This window comes from Homo sapiens, chromosome 14, assembly GCF_000001405.40.
Source record: "Homo sapiens chromosome 14, GRCh38.p14 Primary Assembly".
Lineage (NCBI taxonomy): Eukaryota > Metazoa > Chordata > Mammalia > Primates > Hominidae > Homo > Homo sapiens.
In genome coordinates this window covers 51,015,895-51,032,913 of record NC_000014.9, presented here as the reverse complement: position 1 = coordinate 51,032,913, position 17,019 = coordinate 51,015,895, and the positions used below count along the sequence as shown (strand labels likewise).

General features: G+C 42.0%; 1 protein-coding gene across 39 annotated transcripts in view, besides 1 other annotated feature; it reads left to right on the top strand.

Annotated features, from left to right (window-relative positions):
• TRIM9 (tripartite motif containing 9) overlaps positions 1-17,019 on the top strand; it is a 119,840-nt gene that overhangs the window by 62,192 nt on the left and 40,629 nt on the right. For 30 of the 39 annotated variants that reach the window (NR_170652.1, NR_170646.1, NR_170642.1 and 27 more), the window contains exons 2-3: positions 7,554-7,649; positions 9,957-10,079. The exons of 4 other annotated variants lie outside the window; for them this stretch is intronic. Coding sequence is in view for 22 of the 35 variants with exons in the window: in NM_001387376.1 (NP_001374305.1) it covers positions 7,554-7,649; positions 9,957-10,079 (219 nt within the window). In the remaining 13 variants the exon portion in view is untranslated. Of the gene's footprint in view, positions 1-7,553; positions 7,650-9,876; positions 10,080-17,019 lie in introns of all 39 variants that reach the window. 5 more of the 39 variants (NR_170640.1, NR_170651.1, NR_170648.1 and 2 more) reach the window with 3 other exon arrangements.
• Positions 3,324-4,523: an enhancer, noted in NCBI's record as "BRD4-independent group 4 enhancer chr14:51495109-51496308 (GRCh37/hg19 assembly coordinates)". NCBI's record gives its function as "activates an origin of replication core promoter dependent on BRD2, P300/CBP, MED14 and CDK7 cofactors, and independent of BRD4, by STARR-seq in HCT116 cells {active_cell/tissue: HCT116}" and the evidence as "EXISTENCE:reporter gene assay evidence [ECO:0000049][PMID:35650434]".

Below are 17,019 nucleotides of genomic sequence, written 5' to 3'. Positions count from 1 at the left end.
TGACAAGACGCTCAAAGGAAAGGTTCATTGAAATGTTTCAGATTTTGGATTTTCAGAACAGGGATATTCAACCTGTACTACTTATTGAATTTTAACAATATGCTAGGCATTGCATATAACTTTATATACATGATTTCATGTAATCCTCATGGTAGTCCTAGGATGTAGGTTCTTATTATCCCCATGTTGCAGATGAGGAAACTGAAGCTTAGTATTTTAGACTGGGTTCCCTGGACACAGACTCTGAGAGATAGTTAGTTGTTGTGTGCTCTTGGTAGATCCACCTGGAAGTGAGGAAGCCAGGATTGAACTGAGGCTGAAGCTAACCTGCAATGGCCTCAACCAATCCTACTACAAGTTCTAGATCTGGGATGGTTCTTCAGGGTTGTCCAAAATTGAAGCAAGGGGGCCCCAGCCATTCACTTGCCATGGGACATCCCCAGAAGGGGACATAGCTTTCAGTAAGGCAGTTAGTTCCCTGTGGCCAAGAGCAATTCCTAGGGTAATCTATCAACAGCTGATATTCCCTGCAGCTGGGAGAAGGATGCATAGTCTTTGAGAGAATATTCTGGGTAGAGCACCACAGTATTCACTACAGTTAGGTAATAGGTCCATGATCACACAACTAGTGAAATGCCACCACTGAAACTCAAGTTCATCTGACTTTGAAGTCTATCCTGTTAACTCCAATGCCATGTTGGTCCCCATTGCTCTGTCTGGCCCAATTCCTACTATCTGATGGAATAATGGCATGTCTGATACATTTTTTTGTGGTTCAAAGAATGAAACAGCATGTTTAGACTTAAATTATTATTTAAAAAGAGGTAAATGTCACTATGCATTAGCTTTTGGTGTGAATATTTGTGTGGTTGGGCATGCAAGTCTAACAACAAAGAATGGGAAAGGGGATTCTATGTAACAGTGTGTTGGAATAAAAGCACAGAGCCCTCCTCCTTTCTGCCCTCCACACAGCTCATAGAGTCAGGTTCACAATACAAATGGTGAGATTTGTTTAGTATATGAGAGATGTGCTGGCTTAGGTGGAGGAATTTGTATCCTTGGTGATGTGCTCCCTCACTTATCCTTCAAGGTAACCTTGGCCTGCTGAAGGGTCAGCTCATTGCCCAGAGATTGCCCTGCTCTCCCTGGGTCAGTGGCAGGGCTAGCAACTGTCACTAACTAGCTGGACACTAATTAAAGTGGTAAGGAAAGATTTTAATGTGTAAAAAGGACAGATTTTAATCAGTATACAATTGCAACAGGGAAAAGAGTACATCATGAACTGAACTCAACTTCGATTTGTACAGAGGTGACTGGGCACTTTACAAGGGGAATGAGGGAATAGGAAAGGGGTTGAGCAGGGGCTCAGAGTTACAGAAGTGAAAAAATTCCAAAAATCAGGAAGGGGAAAATCAGTCTGTATGAAATCCATCTGGGTGTGCTAACTTGTGCTTATTGAAGTTAGACCCCTACCCTCTCACAGAGACTGGCAGATAGAGTCCCTTTCTTCAGGTATTCAATGGAACAACATCGAATTCTTTTGGCAGCCTTGAATTTTCTCAGACAGGTACCTTAAGGGAGGCTGGGGTCATCTTAGGAATTCAGCCTTGAGCTGTTAGAAACTGTGTGTTTCTTCAAGTCTTTATAGGTCAAGGTTGAGGCCTAGGTAAGAAGAGGGCTCAGAGGACCCTGGCTATAACTTGGTCAAGGATAGAATCATTCTTTCTTTCTTTCTTTTCTTTTCTTTCTTTTTTTTTTTTTTTTTTGGAAAGAGTTTCATTCTTGTTGCCCAGGCTGGAGTGCAATGGCGCAATCACAGCTCACTGCAACCTCCGCCTCTCAGGTTCAAGCGATTTTCCTGCCTAAGCCTACTGAATAGCTGGAGTTACAGGCGCCCGCCACCATGCCTGGCTAACTTTTTGTATTTTCAGTAGAGACAAGGTTTCACCATGTTGGCCAAGCTGATCTTGAACTCCTGGCCTCAAGTGATCCGCCCGCCTTGGCCTCCCGAAGTGCTGGGATTACAAGCATGAGCCACCACGCCCGGCCTCGAATCTTTCTTATAACCAATTAACAATAAGCAGCAGTTTAATGGAGCAAATCCCTACCCATAAGATTCCTCTGATACCAGCCTTGCTCAAAGCCAAGAGCCTCCCCCAAAGCCAAGAGCCTCCCCATACTCCACTGATGACATATCTCACATACAATCACATACATACACATACACATTCTTACATACTTACACACTCTTAAACTCACATTCTTACCCACATACACATAGACTTTCACACACTCACAGGCATATGCACACTCATACACACACACACCATATGCACACTCATACACACACACACATCCTTTGTCCCTATACTGTGTGCTTCCATTCCCAGGCCCAGCTACTCTTTTGCAAATCATAGCCTGTTCACTGCGCCAGCCCTTTGCTGGGCTTAGAGATAAATTGGCATCTGCAGACCAGCTGGTCTTGGAGGATTCCTGTCCATCTGACTATAGTGAACTGGGGTTGGGGTATATCCAGGATCTTCCAGCACCAGAGAAACCGGAGAAGGGATCCATTCTTGCAGGCACTAAAGGTGCAAGCAGGAGGAATAGAAATGTTTCCTAGAGGGGGAATCAGGACCCTTGGACAGCTCAGCTTGATGGTTCCCCAAGTACCAGTCACTCTGTGAGGTCTCCTTCCTTTACTTAATTCCCACTTCACCCAATCTCTGCCCAAGATCTTAGGCCAGTAGTTGACAAAGTTGTCAGTGGACCTGAATCCAAAGCTTCTTCCCTCCTCCATGAGACTCCTCTCTTAGGGGACTTTTTCAAATTCACCAGAAAACTTCATGCAGGAAAAAAGTTGAATGTTTCATAGGTTAACTAGTCATGCTGTAATTTACATACTATCTGGCTGCTAAGCATAATCAGACCACCTCATAATCAATCATAGTCATCCTCTCACCTTCTCTGGTTGTACATGCTCTCACCGTGGATTAAACAATTAAACAATTGTTTTGGCCTGTGAGGGTGAGAGAATTCTCTTTTTTTGGGAGGCTGGAGCAAAGAGCATGAGTTTGCCATCAGATGAGGGTTTGTGTTCCAGCTGTTCCGTATGTGAGTGGTGAAACCTTCACTCAGGGGTATCCTCTCGGCACCTCTGCAAAATGGCAGGGAGGTGATTGGGATTGCATTGAAAGCACCCATCAGAGTTCCTGGCTCATAAGAAATGACCAATGTATTACAATTATTAGAATTTCTTGCTTACAATTATTAGAATTTCTTGCTTACACTTTTTGATTGTACTATGTCAGCAATGTACTGAGTAACCGGCAATGGGTAATTGCTGAGCAATGTGACCCAGAGATCAATATTTCATCAGAAAAACTGTTATTCTCCTTGGCGGCCTTCCCTCAAAGTCCCATTGCATCAATGATCACTTTTTTCCTGAGTGTTGTGTTTATCTTTGTACCTGGGAAGGAGCGGGAGTGGGCTTTGGCTCCTGGGCCCAGTGGTGTTGCGGTGCCTGAATGGCATGCACTGTGATACAGCACCAGAAGGTGCCCCACGCCCGGGGAGGCAGCTGGGTCATTTTCTGAGCCATCAAGCTGCCAGTGCTTGTTTGCCGCCTCCTCTGTTTTGTACCAACTCTTCGAGTGACCCTTTTGACCCATCCTGTGCCTGTAACTTCAGATCCGAGACAGCCAGAAAGCTTCTTTTCATTTGTCCCAGTTTATCGCTATCCAATATTTGTGGTGAATTGAGGGGAAAAGGCCACGTGAAGAATGTTTACAGTGGGAAATGGAAAGAAGATACTGTCTTCTGCCTGGGCACACTCAGCAGCTTGGGCAAGTCAGGCATTGGGCGGGATGGATTGAATTGCATTACCCATTTGCTGAGCGTGAGAAGTAGGTCCTGAAACGTCCTCCACAGTCAGTCCCAGGGTAAGTGCCTGATCTCTCCCTCCTGGGGAGGCAAGGGGAGCCAGGGTCAGGGTGGAAGCTGAGGACGAAAGCCACGCAAGGAGGGAAGGAGGAGGCAGAGTTCTTTGTTTCTCTCCTTCAGGCTTGAACAACTTGTCATCTTTCTGGGAGACCTCGGTGATTCTCAGCATGCTCCCAGCCAAGAACAACTTGACTGGAGATCAGGGCTTCAGCTGCATCATTTTTCTCCTCTCATTCACCTTCAGATCGTGACACCTTTTCAGTAACCTAGAAAACAAATATCCAAGAAATCCGAATGTCACTGCTTAGGCATTATAAACAGCTTTAGAACGTACCTTTCTCCCTTAAATGACTGCTTGTACCACCAAAGATGCCGTGATGAAAACACATACTACATATTTGCATCTTCATTGTTCTGGTCATAAATTTCCAGCACTGCTCTGTGGTCCTGAATGCAGAACATCTTTGTTAGCACAGAGTAGGAATTTAAATGCATCTGGGAAACAAAATCAGTCAATAACAATGTTCTTCTACATCAGATGGAGCTTATAAATGTGATTAAAATACCAACCTATAAAAACAATGTGCATATAAATCCTTACAATAAGAGCACTTTCTAGTGATAGTTTTCCAGGATTTTTCATTGTCTCCTCAATTTCTACAAGTGGACAAAGCTTAAGAGAATGATTTCTAGATCTTTATCTTATAATGCAATTTTTTATCAAATACCAGAACAATCATCAGCCAGGTAGAAGGCATTCTTGGGACGGACCATAAACACAAAGAGGAAATTGGAAATAAATTGATTTTTGCAGTTCACTTACTGCTTTGTCATATAAAATCCTGGGACTAGATGGGGCCAAAACTCTTTGTCTACTACTAGGAATGATTGTATTTCTAAGTATACAGCAGCAACTGGTCAAAAAATCTATGGGTATCAAGTCTGTCTTATACAGACACAATTAATTGCAAGGTTGGAATACAAGACACCAGGCAGCTTCACTTCTGTGTAACCAAATCAATTTTACTTCTGTACTGAAACATCTAAGTGTGGTTACTAAACATAGGTTATAATAAAAAGAGGAAGAAAACTATGGTAGTCCAGCAAACTTTTACTCATTCAGGAAAAAAAAAAGATATGAGTTCTAAAGTAACAATGAAAAAAAATTTCTTCTTTAAAATATGCCTCTCATATTATTGCCTGCTCTTCCAAATGAGACCGTTTTTCCCTCCTTTATCCCTTGGGCTCCTGGAAATATTAATAGTTATTGAGGAGAAACTTTTACTCCAAATAATATTGTAGCTGAGACCCAATCATAAAGAATTTTGCAACTGTAGGCTCACTTTGAGCTTTATCTTACTCAGTTGTGTTGGTCTTGCCTCTTGGAGCCTAAATACATAGAGCAAAGTACAGGTGATCGAAAATGTTCTCCAACAGACCCTGTTCCAGGAATCTGTCCTGCGAATCCCTCCAGTCAGCAGGTGTTTGTGTGAGCAAGAATGAAGAAAACAAATAAGAGTTAACAGCTGGTTGGGCACGGTGGCTCACACCTGTAATCCCAGCACTTTGGGAGGTCGAGGTGGGTGGATCACCTGAGGTCAGGAGTTTGAGACCAGCCTGGCCAACATGGAGAAACCCCATCTCTACTAAAAATACAAAAGTTCACTCGGTGTGGTGGTGCACGGCTGTAATCCCAGCTATTCGGGAGGCTGAGGCAGGAGAATCGCTTGAACCTGGGAGGCAGAGATTGCAGTGAGCCAAGATCACACCATTGCACTTCAGCCTGGGTGAGAGAGTGAGACTCTGTCTCAAAAAAAAAAAAAAAAAAAAAAAAAAAAAGTTAACAGCCAGCATTTATTAAGCACGCATCATGCACTGTGCACCAGTAGGGTAATAGGGTTCTGGGCTTTAGATATAGTATCTTATGCAATGCCCACAAAACCCAAGAATAGTATTCTTCCTCTGATTTTATGGATGAGGTAAAACAATGTATAAAGGGTTGAACAGCCAGTAACTGGCAGCATTTCAGAATTCAGAATTGTTCCCTTAACTAGCAGAAGCTTTCACATTGATTAATGCATTCAACCCTCACAATAACCCAACTACAAAGTATTACTGTTCTTCCCACCTTTTCCATTGGAGTAATTCAGACAAAGGTAACTTTCTCAAGGTCACACTTATAGGGGATAGAGCGAGAATCTGCACCCTTTCAAACCTATATTCTTTCTACCATCCCACATTGCCTCAACCAAGCATTTGGTGTGCATATTTTTAGAGAGTCAGTGCCCAACTTTGTATTTAAAAGACAAATATAAGAGAAAAGCATTCACAGCACCAAGAGATATAATTTTAAGGTTCTGCCCTTTTACAGAAAGGAAAGGGTAGATGAATCATTGTGTTGGCAAGGAGAATAGGCTTTAATTTGAAAAGAAGACAGTGCAGGAAAGGGAGTCTGTCTCTGTACCTGAGGTACGGAAGGGTATACCCAGACTGCTAGGAGGGGAAGGAATTTGTATCAAGTACAGTGATACTTGATATAAATTCCTGCTAGCAATAGAAAACTCCAGAACAGTGACTTGAATAGGAGTTAATTTTTATCACATAACAAGAAAGCTAGTGGTGAAGGTTTCAGGTGTTGACTCAGCTGCTCAAAGATGCCATCAGAACCGAGCTCCTTCCCCTCCCATCCCTCCACCCATACCCTATTGGCCTTCTCCTCATGTGAGCCGGAAGACATCACATCCATCCTAAAGTCAGGAACCACAGTGGAGAGGCTGCATCAATCACAGTGGTTCCGTATCAGCAGAAAAGCAAAAGCTTTCTCAGACCCCTCCAGTCCCCAGCAGACTTCCACTTAGGTGTCGTCCGTCAGGATTGTGTACCACGGCCTCCCCAGCGGACGAGGAGGCTGGAAGAGCAAGTACCTACCTGGACACCTTGCCAACCCAGCAGAACTGCCTCCTCGTATGGATGGGGTGGTGTGGGAAGAAAGAAAGAGAGTAAGCCTTGGTGTCGGAGGCTAGTGAGGAGAGGACACAAATGTGCTAGGGCAGCAGGGCTGTACTTGGGAGAAGGAAGAGGACACGGATGAGGCAGGAGTGGAATGTCATCCTGCCCATTGAATTTGTGATTATATTTAAGTGGCCCCAGAGGATCACACCAGTACCTACCCCTTCCTTCATCCTGTTCTTTACTCTATTCTTTCTGCCCTACCCAGACCAATAGCCCTTTGTGCTAAGTAACGTTGATAAGAATTAGATCATCTGACTCACTATTTTGTTTTGCTTTTTTAGTCCTTAGCAAATATGTATTCAATAAATGATTGTTTAATTAATCAATGAAGGAGGAGATGAAGAAATTCTAGGTTGATATCAGCTGGTGAGGGCCTTTGACTGCTGTGGCCAGAAGTGTTCACTGCTTCCAAGGAGAAACTACTCAGGAGCACAGGGAGTTTCGACACCAGAATCTACCTGTACAAATGCCAGCAAAAAGGTCCAACCTCAGACAAGAGGAATCTGAGGAGGTTGATGACTCTTCAGTTTTGAGTCTCGCTGGCCTTGTTGGTGTATCCTGTGATTACAGCTCCATGGCTTCCTTCTTTGTCTTTGCAGAGCCAGCTCTCCCAGGCGCTGAACGGACTGTCAGACAGGGCCAAAGAAGCCAAGGAGTTTCTGGTACAGCTGCGCAACATGGTCCAGCAGATCCAGGTATGGGTGTTACCTGGGACGCAAGGAAACCCGCCGGTTAATACGTAACTGTGTGGCGGGAGAGTTTCCTTCTCCTCTTTTATTTTTATGTGTCGTGGGAAAATTCCTATTTTGTGGTTGTTGTTGTTCTTTACATACAAACACATAGAGATCAACTTCAAACATACCCCTTCTTGAGGTAGTTACTTTTTGCCAACAAGCCGGAAACACAGCCTGATTTTCCAACTGGTTCCTGTCTTCCACACTGAGGTCCTAATTCTCTACTACTGAATATTCAGAAAGAGGCCTATTTTTTTGTAAACTCAGGGTCCTTATTGTTGAGCTTGTAAAACCTTGTAGGTTTCCAAAACACCTTGTAATAATTGTATCATTTAATGGTAACAGGCCACAGTTTTCTCTTCTTTTCTTCCTTCATTTCCTTCCTGCCTTCCTTTTTTTCTTTTTCATTCCTCCCTTGTTCCTTCTTCCTCTTTTTTCTTCCTCCCTTTCTGCCTTTCTTTCTTCTTTTCTTCCTCCCTGACCCACAATAATGCTTCTCCTCTGCTTAGACATTTAAATATTTTTCAACCATGATCCCCTGGCAACTATAATTTCAGATTGCTTTATCTAGACACAATGACCAGCAATTCAACCAGCATTTAAGAGCTCATAAATTCTCCACTATAGCTGAAGGAGAAAAACCATAAACTGTATAAGACAGTAAAATAATGACCTTCTGTACTGTTTAGCATTCTTATGTTTTGAGGTTTGCCTCACAGAAATAACCTTAGTTCTGGCCTCCAGTAAATTGCCTAAGTTCATATTTAACCATGTCAAGGTAGAAATGGATTTTTAAATGTAAGCCACCCTTTCAAAGAATTACACACTGATTTCTTTGCCTTTTTTTTTGGCACACATGCCCATGTTAAACTTTTGATTCCCTAACAGCCTAGCAGTTTTGTATACTTCCTTCTGTTTTCCAAAGCAATGGAGTTTATCAATCAGTTCTTTCTTTACTCTGCTGGCATAAAATGTGCAGCCCCAGGCTTGCCTCTGCCCGGGCCTCTTCATCAGAGCAAAGCTTTCTTTCTGCTCTAAATCAGTGACAGAGCTTACAAGGAGAAGGTTTCCCCTCACCCCACCCTCCAATATTACCCTGCATGTGGCATAGAGAGCTCTTAAATGATGTTTTCCAAAGGCCTTCTCTGAGAGTTCAAAAGCAATTGCCGTGAAAGCCAAAATTTAGCATTGCTCAAGCAATTACTAATGCATTCCTTATACGAAGACCTTGCATTTGAAAACAATTACTAAATGCCTACCAGTTGATTATTATATAAAAAGACACAGTTCTTTATGACTTTGGTAATAAATTTAAATTTGTGCCTTAAATAAATTTAAATTGTGCCTTTCTTGCCAGCCCCAAAAGTTTACAGTTTACTCAACTGGGTGGTGTTTTTTAAGTATTACTAACGTATATGTGAGTATTTAGCTTTCGTTTACTGTAAATTACTTTTTTTCAGATTATGCATATATATGCAAAATTGCATATATTACTCATTGAAAAGCTTATCCTTAATAACTGCATATAACTCATTGAAAGAATTGCTTAAAATAAATGTCTATGGCATGTACAGATTTAAATCAAATAAAAAGGTTATATCCAGCATTTAATTTAAACATCACAGGGAAGCTATAATTCACTTAGTATGAAGTTGCCTTTCCCCTGCAAGGTGTTGGGTCATATCTGATTTTTATGGCAGGGTGATCCCTGTTACACACATTGATTGTTTTTTTCTGCCTACTATTTGCTTTCCTTAATGAAAGGGGCAAGTACTTTTACCCATTATTCTTATAAACTTCTGTTCTCATTGGATTATTGTTAATATTGAAGACCAGTGCCATCCTTTTTCTTCTTTATTCCTTTGAATTTAATGATTTCTCGTGCCTCAGCAATGCCCCACTCCCTCCTCATTGCCTTTTTGAATGCCAGCTTCCACCATACATAGCTGAACATATGTGGCCCTCAAAAACATTCATAAACAACTCTATGAACTAAAGCTTTGTTTTGCTTAATAGAATTCAAATTGTGGAGATGATTTCCTTTTGATAAATTTAAGTGATAAATATTTATCCCTTTTAATCTAAATTTAAAGCAAAACATGACCACTGTAGAATAAAGTTTATCCAGTTATTTTTTTAAAATTACCAAATGTGCATTGTGGACAGAGTTCCTTTTCATTCCCTTCAGCAGGATGGGGGAGCTCTGTTTTCTCTGGCAGCCTGAGGCACCCAGCAGCTTGCAGTTGAGAAATGTGCTCTGTTACACAGGAGAACAGTGTGGAGTTTGAAGCCTGTCTGGTGGCCCAATGTGATGCCCTCATCGATGCCCTCAACAGAAGAAAAGCCCAGCTGCTGGCCCGCGTCAACAAGGAGCATGAGCACAAGCTGAAGGTGAGTGCTGCATCATGGGAAGAGCAGAAAGCCAACAAGCCAGGCTCCCGAGGGGCATGATGGACAGGCTGGGAGAATTCCTTCCCATGGACAGGAGGAGAGGATGCCCACAGCCTTGGGTAGCCAGTGGTCTGGCCAGAAAGGAACAGACACCTCCCTTCATTCACTACCTGCTCCTTCATTTACCCAAATAATGTTTGTTGGGTGACTTTTCTCAGCCAGGAACTGCAATGGACATAGGAATAATAAAGAAATCAAAATTCTTGCCTTCATGGGACTTATATTCTATCAAGAGGGACAAATAATAAACAAGATAAGTGTCTTCCTCCATTTTATGTTGATATAGCGGAATCCCACAGACTGGGTGATTATAAATAATAGAATTATATTTAGCTCATGGTTCTGAAGACTGGGAAGTCCAAAAGCATGGTGTTGGCTTCTGGTGGGGCCTTCATGCTGCATCATCCCATGGCAGAAGGCAGAAGGACAGGCGAGCATGGGAAATGAGAGGATAAGAGCCAAACTTCAACCTTTTATTGGGAGCCCACTCCCATGATAATTAACCCACTCCCAAGATAATAGCATTCGTCCATTCATGAAGGCAGGGGCCTCATGTCCTAATCACTCCTTAAAGGCTCCACCTCTTAATACTTTTATAATGGCAATTACATTTCAACATGGGTTTTGGAAGAGATATTCAAACCATAGCAATAAGTAAGTAAAATATGGAGTATATTAGTAAAAAGTGCTAAGAAAAATTCTAAAAGTAGGAAAAGAGGATGGTGAGTACTGGGGATAGGGGTGGAAATTTTGGATAGGGTGGCCATACACAGGCAAAAAAATGTGTTTTTGAATTGAAAAATAGAATCTGTACTTTCTAGAAAATGAGCATGATTTGTCTTAACTTCTCAAGTGAACTTTACAGTTGGAAGCTGTAAAGAATTTTGTCATGACATGGTGGAATCAACTGGCTATTAGAATGGGACCCTATTGGCAGGACTGGTCCTCCAGGAGACATCTGATATTCCATCTATCACCCCATTGGTGCAGGGCAACAAGATGTGAGAGGAAGGATGAATGCATGGGAAGAGCAAACCAGAAGGGGTCCAGCAGTAGACAATCAGCTGAGGCCCACACATGTGGCCAGCAGGCTTCAGAGTGGCTACTGGTGGGTGGTGGGTATGTGGTGTGCAGTGTTGATATGGCATTAGGATGAAGGGAGAAATGAGGTCTGGTCTTACGCTCATAGTGCTGGCAGGGGAGCAGGAGGAGGCAGGGACATGAAGGTGGTTCAGAAGGACTTCTGCCCTTATGGAGTTTACAGTTCAATGGAAGAGATAAGCTATACCCACAGCTGACTCCAACATAGGTACAGAGTGGGCTTCCAGGAGAGAGGTGCCCAATGTCATAGAAGTTTGACAGGGCAAAATTACTTGCAGTTAAAACGGTCACAGAGTACCTCAAGAGCTGGCACCTGAGCAGTCCAAATTGTAGGAAGTGTGTGTTAATGACCATTTACATTCCTACCTGCAGGAATCGGCAAAGCTGTCAGGGAAGAAGTGGGTGATTAGCACATGTGCACTGTGGTCTTGTTCCATCTGGTTAGGCCTGAGGACCAAGGGATGTTTTCTGTATCCAGCACCTGGCCTAACATTGCTAAAAAACTGTCACTATAGCCCTTCAATCTGAGCACCCTTCAGAAACCCAAAACTTTTATTGTTATAGCAGTCCTCAAAATATCATTCGAATCACATAGAACTGTATAAAATAAAACCACAAATGTCTTTGGGAAATGAAACTGAACAGTTTTCCCCGCTAAATAGTGGAACAACTATTTAAGTACCTAGCCATAACATTTTAACTTTCTTCTTAATGGAAATATCTCTTTTGAAACATTGCGAACACTTCCTGGCACTTTTTAACAGAACATGGTGAACAGTTTGCGACAGTCACATGGTGATGGTAGGGCAACTCCAGCCTTTCTATATGGGAGAGACATAAAGGCAGCAATCTGGAGGAGGAATTTTTTGATGATTGAGAATGCATCATTTATCCCTATCAAAGAATGGCAGAAGGCATGAGAAGCCCCGTTGCCCTCCTGCTTAGTGTTGCCTCTGCAGAACAGGACTGTGTGAAAATCAGTTAAGGACTGTGCTGTGGCTGCAGATGTCATTGCCCAGGAATGGCTTTCACGCATCGCTGGGATGCCACATCGCGTGACTATGTCCTCTTCCCTCCTCTGATGGTCCATCTGTACTGGCTAGGCTGCCCCAGCAGGGAATGCGGATGCATTTGGGGGCCACTGAGCAGAGGCAGCTGCCTGCCCTCATTCCACCCTGCCCAGGCTGGAGTTTCCTGCCCAGACCTCAAAGGACTGCAGAAACCAGAGACAGGTGGCTGGCTGTCCCCCATAGCAGCAAAGCTGTTCTGTCTTCTATCTCGAATGATTTGTTTTTCTGCTGTTTTCAGCTGATTATATCTGTCATTGCTTCCAAAAACAGCCACCAGTGCCACTCACACTGTCATGACCACTGATACAGGCCTCCACGGCTCGCTCGCTCTCCTCTCCCCCTGCCTTTTCCCTTTCTTGTCACTCTTGTTGCTACTCAGATTTGTGAGAAAAGACTGGCCTTTTATAGACATCACTTGCCAAGCACAGTACTTCTTTCTATCTTTGTTGGCTAACCCATCACTCACTGTCCTGCAGGGGTAATCTTATGTTCTTCCGCTTCCCTTTGGCTGAGTTCTCTGAGGGCCTGCTTTTTGCTGACAAAGAGAGGAGTTGTGTGTGTATTTTTCGGGCAACTCTCTCTCCTTGAGCAATCCAAAAAACTAGGAATGCTGGAAAGTGAGTGTGTACTTACGCAGTCTTTATAATCTACTCATGTCCCTCTCTGAAAGCACTGATTGCTTGAACAGATTTAATAGTTCTGGTTCTGAGGCAAGATGGAACTGAGTGGTAAAGAGCCCAGGTTCTGTGTCATAGAGGCTGGGGTGAGAGGACACACTTTCTCACTTACTAGGTTTCTCATCTTGAGCAAGTCTGTGGCTCAAAAGTTTATTTCATCTGTGTGTAAAATAAGGCTGGAAGTGGTACCTCATAGGGCATTGCAAAGCACTTAGCACAATCTTTAATGTATATTAACTGTTATTGTTGTGATTGAGAGAGAATGACTGGAAATATGGTTTCATTCAACACCCTGAAGAAGAGTTTCCAGGGGCTTGTTTTCTATGATACCATAATTCATAGCCTAGAATTAGCTCATACACTGGTGTTATTATCCATGAACCTGGGAGATTCTTTAGTGGCATGAGTTCATAATTGATCATTGTATAAAATAGTTCACAAAGTTTGATGAGCTAAAAAAAAGCAAAAAAGCTTTGGAGACATATGCAGATGTGGACATGTTTGAGGGAAACTGTTTGAAATGTAAATTATAGTTAATACTACTCTGTGGTTTGATAAGATGCTGGGAGCCAAATATCTATTTTCAGAATGTGGTGAACTAATGCGAATGTCAGAAAGCTACTGAGGGAAGAAGTGTTTTTGAGCTTCCAATAAAAATATTACTAACTCATATTTGGAACTACTTGGGCAGTATTCCAACAGTGAGCAGAGCACACTGGACCTCCAGGTTTCTTGTCTTGGTCTGTCCATTGTGTTAACATCCTTCCCAGGTCTGCTTTAGCTGAAGAAAGCCTACATTTCCTATCTGTGCTCCTCACAGGGAATTTATGACAACACTTAAACTAAATTGTGCCATTAATGAAATCTATGCTTTCTTCAGAAACTTTACATATGCCACTTTCTCTTGATAAGCCCAAAGACATATCTGAAAATTATTTGTTGTTTATGTAACATTCACAATTTGACATAACCCTGAAATTGTCTTAAATGTGTTCTCTCTAATATTTTAGAATGAATTCACACATTGAATAGTAAGAGGCGATATGTATTTTCTTGATTACCTTTGAACTCTAAGATAATCTGAAAGAAAAAAAATGTTACAGTTATTCCAAATGATTCTGGGGAAAAATTCTAGCTTTCAGTTTCCATGTGTGGTTGGTAAATTTAACATACCAACAAAATTACTCAGCGAGGATGCTGAGGGCTGATGAGAAAGCTTACCATGTTGCGCAGTCTTCATATTAATATTTACTGAGGGCCTCCGTGTGCCCATTGTAGCTATCTGTAGAATGCTTGATTTTGAGGCCTAGTGTAATCTATGAGTTTTGTTAGAATAATTATCATTCTTTTCACCATTATCTTTGTTATTATTTACCATGTATTGCCTGTTATGATCCCATTATGTTTGCCAAAAATTAATTATATCACGTATTAAGAACACAAATTTACGTTACGGATATTATTGGCATATGAACTGCTTACTGCAGCTATTTTGCCATCGTTTTATGACAGGCAAATAATCCTTTGATTCAGATGAGAGAGAGGAAAGAAAGAAAGAAAGGGGGGAGGGAGGAAGGATAGAAAGAAGGAAGGAAAGAAGGAAAGAAAAAAGGGAGGGAGGAGGGAAGGAAGGAAGGAAGGCAGGCAGGCAGGCAGGCCATCCCAGCTCACAAAAAAATTAAAAATAATTAGATACTATTTGACTGGCTACAGTCATTACTAGAAAAAAAAAGCAACTAATTCAAGCCAAGAACCACCTCAATCCCTGTAAAATTAATGACAAAGAACTCAGTTATTCCATTACAATGAAGACATTTGGAAAAATTAGGCACACTGGAACAACTTGAAGCTTTCAACTGCCCTCAGCAGAAGTCTGTAGAAGCCAATTCTAATTATTTAACCACAATTATGATTGATTACAAGCCCATCATGAATGATGAATTCCTTTCAGAGTTTCATTTGGCATATTTTGCAGTCTTCTGCTTCCCACCACATAGGAGCAAAAATCACAAGAGAGACTGTATGGGATAGGGTGCCCAGGCTACCCATGGAATCACGAGGAAGCCCCATACACAGCTGGAGTTCCTCTAAGTTAGAAATCACACCCCTGAACAGCCCCCCCACTCACTTTGGCAATGCCAATCAAAGTCAGTCTCAGAGCTTCCTTAGTACTCTTTGCTTCAACCCAGATATGGGTGACACCTCTTACCTCCAGAAGGCACCTAACTCATACTTTGAGGAGATGGAGTAATCCACTATACCTTGCTACACTTCACATGCTACAAAACATCATACTGCTTCACTCTTATTGCAACCCACCTTCAGTGGTAAATGTTCTCCTGTGTGGTTGGGACTGCCCAATATGCTTCTCTCTCCCAATGTCTTGAATTTCTTCTTTTATTAACTTCTCTGTACGAGGATACAGTATTCTATACATTAAGAGCATGCTTTGCATATTCCACTCCATGTTTATTGGTAAGGCATTGGTGATATTCACACTTCTAGAATAGAAATTTCACAGCTTTACTGTTAAAAATCTCAAGACTTCCTAAAAACAGGTGTGTGTTTTATTTAAAGGCCTAAATGATCCTTTTCTCGATTAAAACCGCAAAGCCTCAGACTTGCCTTTGAAGTGATTAGTTTGCCAGTGTGGGTAAATTAATAACATTAGTATAGAAGGTGGTATCAAGAGAACGGGGAAAATATTTGCCTTAAACTATGAGGGAGAGTGGTGGCATGTGAGAAATTTAAAATGCTCTTTTTTAAGTTAAATGCTGTAAGTTTTAGTGAACGTGACAATGAAATGGTAGATAATGTTCTACTCTTGGAAAAAACAAGAGAATTCTTTATTTTGTCAGAAAGATCTAACAGCCAAAGCACTTCCCCTTTAATTCACACAGTTAATTCAAAGCATCAGTTGGTCATCATGCTTTAGGACACAATGGGACACATAGAAACTCCCTCCTGATCAAAAGGACGCATGGAGAACAAACACTTCAAACTTGCATCTTAAAAGTACAGTCAGCCCTCCATATCCATGGGTTTTGCATCCATGAATTCAACCAACAATGGATTGAAAATATTCGGAAACAAAAGTCTCTCCTGAACATGTACAGACTTTTTTCTTACTATTCCTTAAACCACTGGTCCCCAGCCTCTTTGGCACCAGGGAGCAGTTTCATGGAAGACAGTTGTTTTCCATGGAGTACAACTGTCTCCTCAGTGTCTGTGGGGGATTGATTCCACGATTCCCTGCAGATACCAAAATCCACAGATGCTCAAATCCCTGATATAAAATGGCATAGTATCATTAATGTTATGTTATTAGTAATAATTAAATTATGTTATTAGTATTAATATAATTAATATGCTAATAATAACATAATGTTATTGTGTTATTAATGATATGTTATTATTAATATTATTATTAGAGAGAGAGAGCTGCAGGGGGGTAGGGGGTGGGGGGGAATGGTTCTGGGATGAAACTGTTCCACCTCAGATCATCAGGCATTAGATTCTCATAAGGAGCGGGCAACCTAGATCCCTTGCATGCGCAGTTCACAGTAGGGTTCCTGCTCCTGTGAGAATCTAATGCCGCTGCTGATCTGAAAGGAGGTGGCCGCCGCTCACCTCCTGCTGTGCAGCCCGGTTTCTAACAGGCCACGGACCAGTGCCAGTCCACGGCCCGGGGGTTGAGGACCCCTGCCCTTGCCTAAACAATACAATATAATACCTATTTACATTGTATTAGGTATTACAAATAATCTAGAGATGATTTAAAGTATATAAGAGGATGTGCATAGGTAATATGCCAGTACCATGCCATTTTATATCAGGGACTTGAGCATCTGTGGATTTTGGCATCCTCAGGGAATCGTGGAATCAATCCCCCACAGATACTGAGGAGACAACTGTACCGGACCTTAAACAAAAAGGATTAAAGGATTACCTTATGCTTGGGGGAAATTGTTTTAAACTATAATGGGAAGGCATAGCTTATATTTAAGAAAGAACTTTTTGAAATAGTAGAGA